The 12,238-nt window shown below is 40.8% G+C and overlaps 1 long non-coding RNA gene across 4 annotated transcripts in view; it reads right to left on the bottom strand.

Annotated features, from left to right (window-relative positions):
* LOC105376244 (uncharacterized) overlaps window positions 1–12,238 on the bottom strand; it is a 111,773-nt gene that overhangs the window by 89,345 nt on the left and 10,190 nt on the right. The window contains exons 3-4 of one of the 4 annotated variants that reach the window (XR_007061905.1): window positions 10,517–10,675; window positions 3,611–3,795 (exon numbers count right to left, since the gene is read on the bottom strand). The exons of 1 other annotated variant lie outside the window; for it this stretch is intronic. This is a non-coding gene — a long non-coding RNA (uncharacterized LOC105376244). Of the gene's footprint in view, window positions 1–1,194; window positions 3,972–10,516; window positions 10,676–12,238 lie in introns of those variants that run through there. 2 more of the 4 variants (XR_007061906.1, XR_001746916.2) reach the window with 2 other exon arrangements.

The raw sequence follows: 12,238 nt of genomic DNA, 5'->3' as shown, positions 1-12,238 counted from the left end.
ATAAATTGTACATTAGTGGGTTTCTCTGAAGGCAAAGATTATGTCATCATCAAGATTTGATTTCTCACAATGCTTAACACCTTGTTTTCAATGCAGTAGACACTAAGTTTTTGTTTTTATTTTCTGAAAGCAGAAAGAGTGGGAAGAAACAATTCAAACATGGAAGCTAGAGAGAAAATACAAAAGACAGGAAGAAAGGAAGGAAGGGGAAACATTAAAATGCATTTTATTACATTACAGGACTCATTTAAGACATAACGGAAGCTTCATTATTTGTTCACTTTTTGCCTTTAAGTGCTGATTCCTATAAAGGACCAAAAATATTAAAACATAAAGAATTAGGAGCCTGCCGAATATCAAATTGGGGATGAAAATGTCAAATCTCTCAAATTAGAAAGAAATTCAGGAAGAAGGCAGTATCTGTTCTAAAGGGTTACATGTTTGAAATCACATTTGTAGGTGTACATTTCTCCTACAAAGCAAGACGCCCTGGAGTGCAAACACACTTTTCCCAGCTTCAGGAAAACCACTCAGCATGCCACAGCTCCTGGAGGTGCCCGTTCCCACCATTATCACTGCCTCCCCGCAGCACAGCCTCTCCAGGACAGATGCTAACAATCGATAGCAAACACCTCACACTTAAATCCATCAATGAAAATACTGTTACAATAATAGCAGCGATTTTATGTGGCTACTGATTTCTTTGGGGCCTCCCAAACCCAAAGGTAAGAAATAATAACAGGTCATTTTTCATCAAGACAGACAATGCAGAAGGGTGATTGGAGCAGAGGTGCTTCCGATGAACTGTGTTGCCCATGTGAGCACTGCCAAGAAAAAGGAAAAAACCCACCTCCTGGGAGGCTCTTGTGTTTGGGCTGATGAAAAAAGCAATAAGAATCCTCAGCAACATAATAAAGACAGCACCAGGCAATCCCACGTTCCTGGGCAAACCCATCGCTGTGATTTTACCTGAGTCTGCAAATAAGATTGTGTGACTGGTAAAAGGATAACTATTATCCCATTTCACAGATGGACAAACAGAGACTCAAGGGAGAAAGTGGCAGAACTAGGGCTAGAACACAGAGCTTCTTCCTCTTAATCCATTATTTTTTTATTTGCTTTTTTCTCCCTTGAATTGAACAGAAAGGAGACAATCCAGGATATAGATCAAAACATTAAAGGAGTCAAACCAAATTGTGTTTTAGAAGAATATTTAATGACCTGGGGAAATGTTTACAATACAAAATGTAGTTAGAAAATAACTATATGTGCACATGTGTATTATAATTCTGATTATGTAGACATTTTATATAGACACATACACACGTCATATATCAACCAGGAAGTATCTCTGGATATAATGAATGACTTTGGCTTCTTCCTTAGGCTTTCCTCTACTTTATGCATTTCTTACATTCTGCACATATTTCTAATGTTTCTAAAAGTTAAGTTGAATATATAATTTGAATTAATAATATATATAAGTACAAACACACACCCATACAGAAGTCAAAATTAGATCATCTCAAGGGAAAAAAATGCTTTGCTTACTTTCTCTTGCTTTCTCTTATGGAGGATATAAAACTAATCAGTGATCGAATCCAAAGTCTCTGCTAGGCAATCAACATTATGACCTAAGTCAAATGCTTCATCTCTCACAGCTCACATTCTTCATCTACCAAAGAGGTATATTCCTATTTATTGCCTAATTTCTATGGTTTTTGAAAAAATAAATGACGAATCAAAATTTTGCGCCTTGAGTCCAAATGTATAGGCAGACAGGAAGCTGGTATGTGATGAGAGAGGGGGAGCCCTTCTCTTGAAACCACAAATTTAATCAGAATTTCTTCCTGTCTTCACCAAGCTGTAGGCTGAAGCAGCCCCTGTGATTATCTCTTCCTAATCAAGTGGGTGCCTATCTAGGGAGGCAGATGTAGCTCTGGTGGTGGGGGTGAGAGCCTCTAATTGCAGGATTTACATGAGAGGAGATTCCCCAGAGGCGGAGAAACAGACAGCCAAGGAGACACCACAAGCTATTTCCTCAAGCAGAAAAAGACAAGGAGGCCTTGGGAAGAGGCTGCCCTCTTTCTGGCCCTCAGGGTCTTTGTAGGTGGAAAAGGAAGTTAAACTGGGACTGGGCGGAGAGGGATAGGATTAAATTGGAGGTAACTTCATTGAATGGCTACTTTCTGCAAGGCACTGTGGGACTGGTAAGGGGGAAAACGCAACAGCAAAGAGTTCAGAAATAAGATTTTTCTAGTGCCTAGTGTGAGTCAGAAACTCTGTTAGAGTCTGTGTTTAAATGATCAAGTTGAATCTTGAAGAATAATTTGTGAGGTAGTGATTAAATCCACAATATCAGGCACACATTAAACAAGAGCCTCCTAGAATAACTGCAGATCTGGCAAACATGCTTTGCTTGCCTGCACGTGGCTTTCTTTTCAACTTGGCTTCATTACAACATAAATGTTGTTCCTTTTACCTAGGATGCCCTTCCCACCCTCCCCACTTGAACAATACCTTCAGGAATTACTTCAACTGCCACTTCCTCTAAGAAACCTTCTTGTACCACTCTACTCTCAAGCTAGTTGAAATTCTGAACTCCTACTGCACTCTGCATTATTTGTTGTAATTATGAGTGCTTGTCTGCACCCCCACGACATTGCACATGTTATTTTGTGAGGATTTGTTGTTGTTGTTGCTGTTGTTGTTGTTTAGTTTGTTTCCCCCCACCTTTAGAATCTCTGGTGCCTAATACAGTGCCCAGAGAAAACAAAGTGATCAATAAATGTTTATACTCTAAATAAGAAACTTGATGAAGTCATGGAAAGAAAGCAAAGGATATATGGATAAATGAATGAGTGAATAAATGATATGTGAATAAATATATCAATGAAAGAAAGTATGAATGTTTCTAATACAACTCTGAATCTTATAGGTACACAAAGTGAAAGGAAGTAAAAATGATTGGAACTGAGCAGAGATGGCAAAAACATACAGGTTACAAAGGCCAACATCAAACTAATGCCTCATCCAGGAAAACCATGGCTATTTTTAGCCTGCAGTTTCCCAAAAACAGCATCAGATTATTTGCAACTGACCTGTGCATTTTGAAAATTTCCAGTCATCCTGCCAATTTTCTATCTGGTGCATCCTTTGGGGCTCATGTAAAAGCCCCAGGCCCCCTAGATCTGCAAGGGGGCAAATAACCTTCTCTGATCCTTCTGAATCAGGTTGTGCATGTGTGTGGCTTTCCAGCTAATTCTGATCATTGCTCTCATTTAGGATCTTCTGTAATGAAAATTCTTGTACCTTCAGCTAATAGGGTTGCTTTAAAAAAATAGGAAAAAAAATTTCGTACCAAAGGGAAGGCTATACCAGAGAAAGTCTTGTATACCCCCATGAAATCTAGCATTTTATGGTTTCATAGTAAAACAACCACCAATCATAAAACAGTATTTCATTTTTAAAAATGTCTTGCTATTGGCAAAGAGATTTAAAGATATCATGTGCATTTTTCTAATGTAATCTTCATGACACCCTTAGTGCAGTGGGTATGTTCATCTTTCTTTGAGAGATGAAGAAACTGAGACTCAATGAGATGACTTACTTTTCTTTTGTCTCAGCTCCTCAGACACTATGTGGATCTTCTTTCTTTTTCAATTCTCTTTTCTCCCATAATGGAGACATGATCACACATATCTGGTCCTTCTCTCCTTCTGGACACATAGAAGGACTATCCATTCTGGTCCCTTCTAGTTAGGAAGGGCCATGTTGCTAATTCTGGTCAATGAGCTGTCAGGAGAAGCACATGTCATTTGAGGATATAAAGCATTTCCCTGCTGATGCAGCAGTCTCCAATACCCACTTCAACTCTCCAGGTCACATGTTTCCTTCTTCCTCTATTGGAGTTTCATGTTGAGAAAGTGGAGCCACAAAACCAAAGCCACCTGGATAGCTGAGCTATGACCCTGAAGAGGGGAGTAGATTTGGCATGAATGAGAATTAAACTTTTGTGGTGTTAATCTGAAGACCTTTGCAAGTTATTTGAGGGTGCAATGTAACCCATTCTTACCTGACAAATGTAGATGCTCCTATGAAAAATTACAAACCTACTTTTCAGTCTCTGAAGCCCCCATCACTTAGGGTTTCTGCATCCACACGTTCCAGAGGTTTTTCCAGTTCTTGCTACGTAGTGCCCTCCTAGCGATCCCCTACAGAGCATTAATAGTGGCTCTCTAATCATCTTTGGAAGTGCACTTAAATTTTAGTTCCTGATCAATACTCCTCCCCACAATGCCTCACTTCTTTTGCCCTCCCCTGCATCACTGAAATAAACAAGCTGGGCTATTCCCAGGTTGCTGTACTTGCCAGCTTCCTATCCATTCCACTCCAGACCCACTGACGTAGCAATGACAGGAAAGACTAGAGTCAGAAGATCTGTTGCAAATTTGAAGATTTTTGGAGCTGAAAGAAGGCGTCCAGTGGTAGAATTAGGAACATAGGGGATGGAATTTGCCTCCTCCAATGCTTGCATATCCTCTACAGCAGAGTAGGAGGGTTACACTCAAGTTTCCCAGAGAAACACCTCTAGGGGCAGGGCATTCACTAGCTCACAAAGCATTTCTTCCATCTTTGAACAATCTGACTCTAGATAATTATTTGTCTTGTGCCTGTGTATTCCACACAGGTTCCTGACTGTACTACTTGAGAGTCAAACAGAGAAATCCATTCTTCTTCCCCATAACAATTCTTTAAGAATTTAAAAACAGTTGCTAGGTCTTCTTCAATCTGCCACCATATCTCCCCTTTCAGCCTAAACCTTTTCAATTTTAACATAAGAAAAAATAATTATTAAACAGAAAAAAACTTACCAAGAATGCACAGCTAGTAACTAAAGTTTCTGGCTCCCAATCCAGTGCCCATTATAGTTATTTATTCATCTTTTTACTCAGTAAATATTTTATGAGCATATAATATATACACAATGGTAACACAGGGCTTACAACTTAAATATGATTCAACTCCTGCCACAGGAGAGCAAAAATTTTAGTAAAACGTAAGATGTGTGGACAGGTAGCTACTGTAGTTGGAAGGAAATGAAAAAAAATATTCATTAAATGCTTTCTAAATGTCAAGCACTGCCAGGTGCTTCATATATTATTTCATTTAATTTTCAACTACACACTAGGGTTGACAGTATCATACCATTTTGTTCATTTAAGAACTGAAACACTGCTCTAGATTTTTTGTATTGCTGCATAAAAGACCACCCAATCGTAGTGGTATAAAACCATTTGATCGTGTTCATGGAGTCTGTGGGCCAGGAATTAGAATAAGGTATCACAGAAGTAGCTTGTTTATGCTCAAAGATACCTGGGGCAGTGGGAAGGTCTCAAATGTCCAGAGGCTGAAATCAAAAAGAGATTTCTTTATGTACAGGTCTGGAACCTGAGGTGAGTTGATGTCTGGGCTCAGCTGAGACTGCCTGTAAGAGCCACCTACCTACGTAGAGGCCTCTCTATGTGCCTTAGCTTTCTGGTGGCAGCTGGGTTCTTCTAACAGTATCTGAAGTCATGCAATCCCACTTCCATTACAGTCTATTTGGTTAAGGTACTTATAAGGCAAGCATGGATTAACTTAGAAATTAGACTCCAGTTCATCATGGGGAAGTGAAAAGGTCACACTGCAGAAGAAGCTGTGGTACAGGTGATATCACTGCAGCAAACACTGAAGGCTTAAGCTGTACAGCTGGTGTGTGTTGAAGCAGGTTATGTATCCAGGCCACTTTGGCTCGAAGAGATTTTCTATGAAACTTCAGAAGATGGGTAGAGCATTATGTTACTCAAGAAGGCTCCATGGAGGAGGTACCATTTGGAGTGGGCTTTGAAGGAGGGGAGAGATTTGCATGTGGAAGCATTCTACATATGGGGTAAAGTGTGACTAAGTCACAGAGGGAGCATCATGATCTTCCTTCACTGTCTTCAGGCTATTTTCTATTCCAATAAAGAAACATAGAAAATTATCCTCTCCCAACAGTCAACAGAAGTACTGGGCATAGGAAAGCTCTTGTGACTAAAAGGTGGCATTTTTGCCAGATGGCAAGTTTCCCTGGGTGACTATTACCCATGACACAGGGAACTGAGCTTGTGGCACAGCCCAGCCACAGGCAGACAGAGAGGACTGGGCTGAATGGAAGAGGAAGGAAGGAAATCTCACTTTGGGAGAACAAGGGTGGGCTGAAATCCTCCATAATGAGGCAGAGTGTGATGGCAGCTAGAACCCATTGCCCTCAAGCCCCTGGGTAACCATAATTAGCTCAAGGAGCATTTGAAATGAACATTTTAGATGTTGTTGGCAATGGTGCACCCCATACAAAGGGAGTCAGGCAAAAGGCAGGCTCAAGCCCAAATTATAGTAGAAGAGGCCTTCATGAAGATTTTATGAGCACCCAGTGGAACTACTTTTCATGGTACTATTCTACAAAGAATAGGTTTTTCCATTGCATATTTTAAACTAGTTGTTATTAGTGTATATAAAAGCTGTGATTTCAGTATACATATTTTTGAAAATGGCAATAATACAGAAAAAAAAACATGAGGACAAAAATCCCAACAATTTTCAATGTCCTCTATCAACAGTCTCATCACCTACATAACACATTTCCACATCCATGGACACCTACACCATAACCTATTACATTTTTATATTTATTTCATTACTTGCTTATTAACTATCACCCCTGTGAGAATGCAAGTTTCATACAGAAAGTCACTTAGTTCTGTGTCCTCAGCATCACTAAATGTCATGGTCATGGTTGCATATGTTGGTCACTTAATATTTGTTAAGTAAGTCAGGCCCTAGGGACAGGAGAGAAGGACTGACAAGCTTACTGCTACATTTTTCTTTGTAATGGAAGGGAACATCTGACCCTGTAATATTGTCAATGAGCCAAGGTTGGTTTTCTTGCCACATATACCACAATTCCAAATTCTGTTTGGGAAACGACTTCAGGTAGATTTGAGATGCAACCTCAGGTCTTCTACTTAGTAGTTGTGTGAGCTTGGCCTGTCACTTAGCTTTCCTGAGTATTAATTTCCTTGTTTGGGAAAAAATATTTTTATCAGAAAGCTAATATGAGGGTCAAATCATGAAGGTATTTTGCAGATGATGATGCAGTAAGGGCCTCACTCCTCTGACTGGACAAACCTCAGGCTATTTGCTGCCAAGCTTGGATAAGGGGAGGAAAAGAACAAGAAAATGTACGAAAAGAAGCAAAGAGAAAGAAAGGAACAAACAGTAAAAACAGGAAGAAGAGGAAGAGAAGGACAGGCGAGAGGAAACAGAGACATGTACTTTGAAAAGAGGCCAAGTGTAGTGGCCAAGGTTTGCAAGGCCAAGGCAGGAGAATTATCTGAGGCCAGGACTTCAAGACCAGCCTGGACAACACAGGAAGACCCTATCACTACCAAAGTTTTTCTTTAATTAACCAGGTGTGGTGATGTGTGCTTGTGGTCCTACCTACTTGGGAGGCTAAAGTGGGAGGATGGCTTGAGTCCAGGAGTTTGAAGTTACAGTGAGCTATTCTTATGCCACTGCACTCCAGCCTGGGTGATGAAGAGAGAGACCCTGTCTCTAAAAAGGAAGAAGAAGAAAATGAGATTAGAAGAGAAATAAGTAGAAAGAGGATGAGTGGCCAGAAGGAAGGAGATAAAGAAAATAGGGAGAGAAGAAGGGAAAGGAGGGGAGGGGAAGTTTGAGGAGTGTGAGGAAGGAAGAGAAAAAGATAAGAAGAGAGAGAAAACAATGCTGCTAGAAAGGAAGAAAGAGAGGGGAGAAGGGAGGGGAGAAGGGAGGGAGGAAGGAAGGAATGGAAAAAAAAGGAAGGAAAGGAAAGGAAAGGGAAAGGAGAGAGGGATGGAGGGAGGGAAAGAAAGGAAGAGAGGAAGAAAGAGAGAAAGAAAGAAAGAGAAAGAGAGAAAGAAAGAAAGAGAGAAAGGAAACAAGGAGAAAAAGAGAAAGAAAGAAAGAAAGAGAAAGAAGAAAGAGAGAGAAAGAAAGAAAGAGAGAAAGAAAAGAAGGAAGGAAGGGAAGGAGGAAGGAAGGAAGAAAGGAAGGAAGGAAGGAAAGAAGGAAAGGAAAGGAAGAAAAGGAAGGGAGGGAGAGAGGGATAGAGGGAGGGAGGGAGGGAAAGAAAGGAAGAGAGGAAGAGAAAGAAAGAAAAGAAAGAAGAAAGAAAGAGAAAAGAAAAAGAAAAGGAAGAAAGAGAAAGAAAGAAAGAAAGAAGAAAGAAAGAAAGAAAGAAAGAAAGAAAGGAAGAAAGAAAGAGAGAGAGGGAAAAGAAGAAATAGAAAACAGGAAAGCTGGGGAAGACTAAGGAGGGAGAAGACAATCGAGAGAAAGAAAGAAATGGAGAGGTCCCTGGCAGAAGGACCCCAGGATTCCCCCAGTTACTTGGGGGTTCAGGGATCACTGACTGGCCCCCAAATCCAGACTGTGGACCTCTCTGTGGTACTATTTGCCCCTCTCTCTGGCCATCCTTGCCTTGGACAGTCTTTCTATAAGGAGCTCAAGCCTGCCAGGATGCAGAGCCAGGGTCGCTGGGGAGGCTGGAACTCACTGCCCTGAACTAATCCTTCATTTCAGGCTCCCCAGCCCCGCTGATTGAGTCAGACAATTAACACAGCCCTGGTTGGGGTGGACCACTGTGTTTATGACATGATATGGGCTCCAGCAGACAACATTAGCCCTGACTTTATGGGGATTTGTTCAGCCTATTACCATGACTCATACTCCAGTAATGAGATCTCTCTCTTCTGGGATTCAGCACTTTGCTGCTGGCATCCTCCTTCCTGCTTCCCCCGTGGCTCCATTTCCATTTTTTCCCCAGAATTTCCTAGCTTTCCTCTTGGCCTCAAACTCATTTTGGGGTGGGGAACAGGAAGTGGTCACTGTAACTTCTAACTTGCAAAGTATCTGAGCCCCCGCCGCCAGAGCCACATGTCTAGACCAAGCCTAGAAACAAGCAATGAGAAAACATACAATATGAACAAAATTGGGCGTATTTTTTAGGGAGATAGGAAGGAAGGCTTGGACCTGCTACCAAGACCCGAGATCTGAAATGATGCTAATATCCCTTTATCCTCCATAATCTAATCTAGAATGCTTGAGGTGGAAGAGAAGCTAGAGACAATCCAGAATCTCAGCAAATAGATGGGGGAAGCTAAGGCTTAAAGAGAGGAAGAGACTTGCTCAAGATCTCACAGTGAGTGGTAATTAGATCTAGAACTCCTATCTTCTGATTCCTCTTTTCTCCCTAACCTTTTAATTTATTAATTCATTTACCCATTCAAGCAAATACTTGACACAATATCAAGGCCCAGCTGTACTCTGAAGCCTTCCAATATGCTTGGTGTTAGCTTGGCCTCTGCCCCTATTTTGTGCCTCCTGAGCCCTGTACACATACACTGAAATTATGGACTTGATCACTGCATTTCTTGACTTGTGTATGAGGGGGCTTTCTCCTCCTCTAGGCTGGGTTCTTCAGGATAGAGACCTGGTCTTTTTTTAAATTTTATTTTATTATTATACTTTAAGTTCTAGGGTACATGTGCACAACGTGCAGGTTTGATACGTAGGTACGCATGCGCCATATTGGTTTGCTGCACCCATCAACCTGTCATCTACATTAGGTATTTCTCCTAATGCTATCCCTCCCCCAGCCCCCCACCCTCCTACAGGCCCCAATGTGTGATGTTCCCCGCCCTGTGTCCAAGTGTCCTCATTGTTCAATTCTCACCTCTTATTCACTTATGTAGCCCTGTCACTAGCTCAAGGCGTGACATTAAGTAGATGCTGAATGTTTGATGAAGGAATTAATGAATTAATAAGCTCCAATTGCTTCAAAATTCTGATCACTCATCAAGCGGTAAGGAGCACTACAGGTTCAGCAGACTAACCCCTGTCCCAGCTGCCTCCTACAACATGGTCCAGACCCCTTTGTGAGCAGACACCATCTATTCCTCTTGTCTTCTTGATCCTTGATTTTCTCATACTACCTGGGCAGTGTGTTTCACCTTCCTTTCAAGAAACTGATTTGTACTAATTTAGAAGTTTTGGGATATTTATTTCAACTTTAAGGTGAAAGAATAAGCCCTTAATCCCATAGGAGCTGGCAGGACCATTTTTAAAGTTCAAAGTTCTCTTTACCTATTTTAGTAATCACTGAGGGCTTTCCTAGGCAAACCAAATCAAATACAGCTTTTAAAAGAAACAATACTGGGTCCTTAAATCCCAGAGCAAAGAAGGGAAGAGAAAGAACCAGAGAGATGTTTAACTTATCTGCCAACCTGATTTGGATACTTTCTAATGTCCCTTGAGTCCAAGGGAAAAAAAAAGAGATCTCTGAGGAAAAAAGATCCTGCTCCCAAGACAGACCTGCAGTGGTCTGCAACTGGGCAAGATACAAACAGACAGCCATTTCCGCCAGGTAGGCTATAAATCCAGCCTTTATTACCTCTTATTATGTTGTTTCAACAGACTCTTAAAGACAGCACAATGGTCGGTTGATAGCTGCACTAAATCTCTTTCATTTTCTCCCCGTATTAATTTCGCCTCCTGAATTTTTTTCTCTCTCTTCATGAGTCAAATTTTATGGGTCTTCCCTAGAGAAGGGCTGTAGAATGGAAACATTGTTTATGATTGGGAAAGAAAACCCAGCAACCCTCAAACCTCAAAACTATGAGCTAGCAGTGAATGTGTGTGTGTAACCTATATATGTAGACATTTTATATTTTATATGCATATATATACGCATACACACATATAAGGCAGAATAGCAGAGGAGATGCACAAATCTAATGGCACAATGGGGGCTGAGATTGTGTGTGGAAGGAATGAACATAAGAACCATTTACTGCCGACATATCAAAGGCTGAAATGGAATTAAAATAAACTAAGGGTCACAATTTTTTAAAGCCCTACTTAAAGAACAGAATTCCGTTATGGGCTGAAAAGAAGTCCCAAGAATACTGTGAGGTGGAAGTGAGGCAGAGAGGGAAAGCAGGAGGGGAGGAGAGAGGAAAAGGAAGAGAGGAGGAGGAAGAAGGGGAAACAGGAAGAGGAAGAGGAGGAGAAGAAGAGAGAACAGGAGGGAAGAAAGGGGGAAAAAAGAGGGGAAAGAAAAGAGGAAAATGGGAATAGAATAAGACTGAGAATAAATAAGGAAAAACTAAATTCCAGAATCTTTCTGTCTGGGCTCTGAAGTAAAGCTCAGAAACATTTTCATTGAATTTGATGAAGCAGATATTAAACAGATATTAACCATAGATCTTCAACAATCTTCTATTTTATATGTCAATCAAATATTAGTGCCTCTTGGGAAATTGAATACTAGATGCTGATCTCCTTACTATCAGCATACAAACACACAGTGTCCCCACCCCTACCCCCACAGATATTGGCAGTTACTTTTCTTTAAGACTCCATAACCTACCCTGTACTTATTCTTAAAGAGTCAATTAATGATCCTCCTCATCGCTGAAACTGACTGTATCACTCTAATTTTTCTCTGAGCCCTTTGTCCTCTTTCAGAGCTGCCTCACGATGTCTCTGGTCCACCAGACTTGGAAGATTTTTTTCATATTTGCACTGTTCCTTCTTTCAGATCTGATTGTCAGCTCCTTGATAACTGGTATCACATGGACATCCTCCAGTTGGGCTCCCTCATTCAAAGCCTGGCTCTACATTCACAAGCTGTATTATGTTGAGAAGTTACAATCGAAGTAGAACCTGTTTCACCATCTGTTAAAGGGGGGAAATACTACCATCTACATCATGGGGTGGTAGCCAGAATCAAATAAGATGATAGATGAGAAGTGCTGGCTCTACCCTGCTATCTAATTCTTGTCACTTTCTGGCTGAAAGGCAATGGGGCCAGCAACCTAGGTTTTGAAGTTTGCTTTACTCATTGGAAAAATAAATGTAACACTCAACCCTTGGGAACATCATAAGATAGTATAATACTGTGGTTCTAAGTTCAGATCCTGGAGCCAGACTACACAGATTCAAATGCAAGCTGCCCCACTTACTAATGTATGGCCTTCAGGCAAATTACTTAAATTCTCTTTGCCTCTATTTCCTTATTTGTTAGAAAATGTTATTATTACCTATTCCATAGTGCTCTTGTGGGGATTAAATGAGTTAATTCAAGTAAAGTACTTAGAACAGTTCCAGACAC

This window comes from Homo sapiens, chromosome 9 (assembly GCF_000001405.40).
Source record: "Homo sapiens chromosome 9, GRCh38.p14 Primary Assembly".
Classification (NCBI taxonomy): Eukaryota; Metazoa; Chordata; class Mammalia; order Primates; family Hominidae; genus Homo; species Homo sapiens.
The sequence above is the reverse complement of the archived record's forward strand: the minus strand, read 5'-3'. Positions and strand labels throughout refer to the sequence as shown.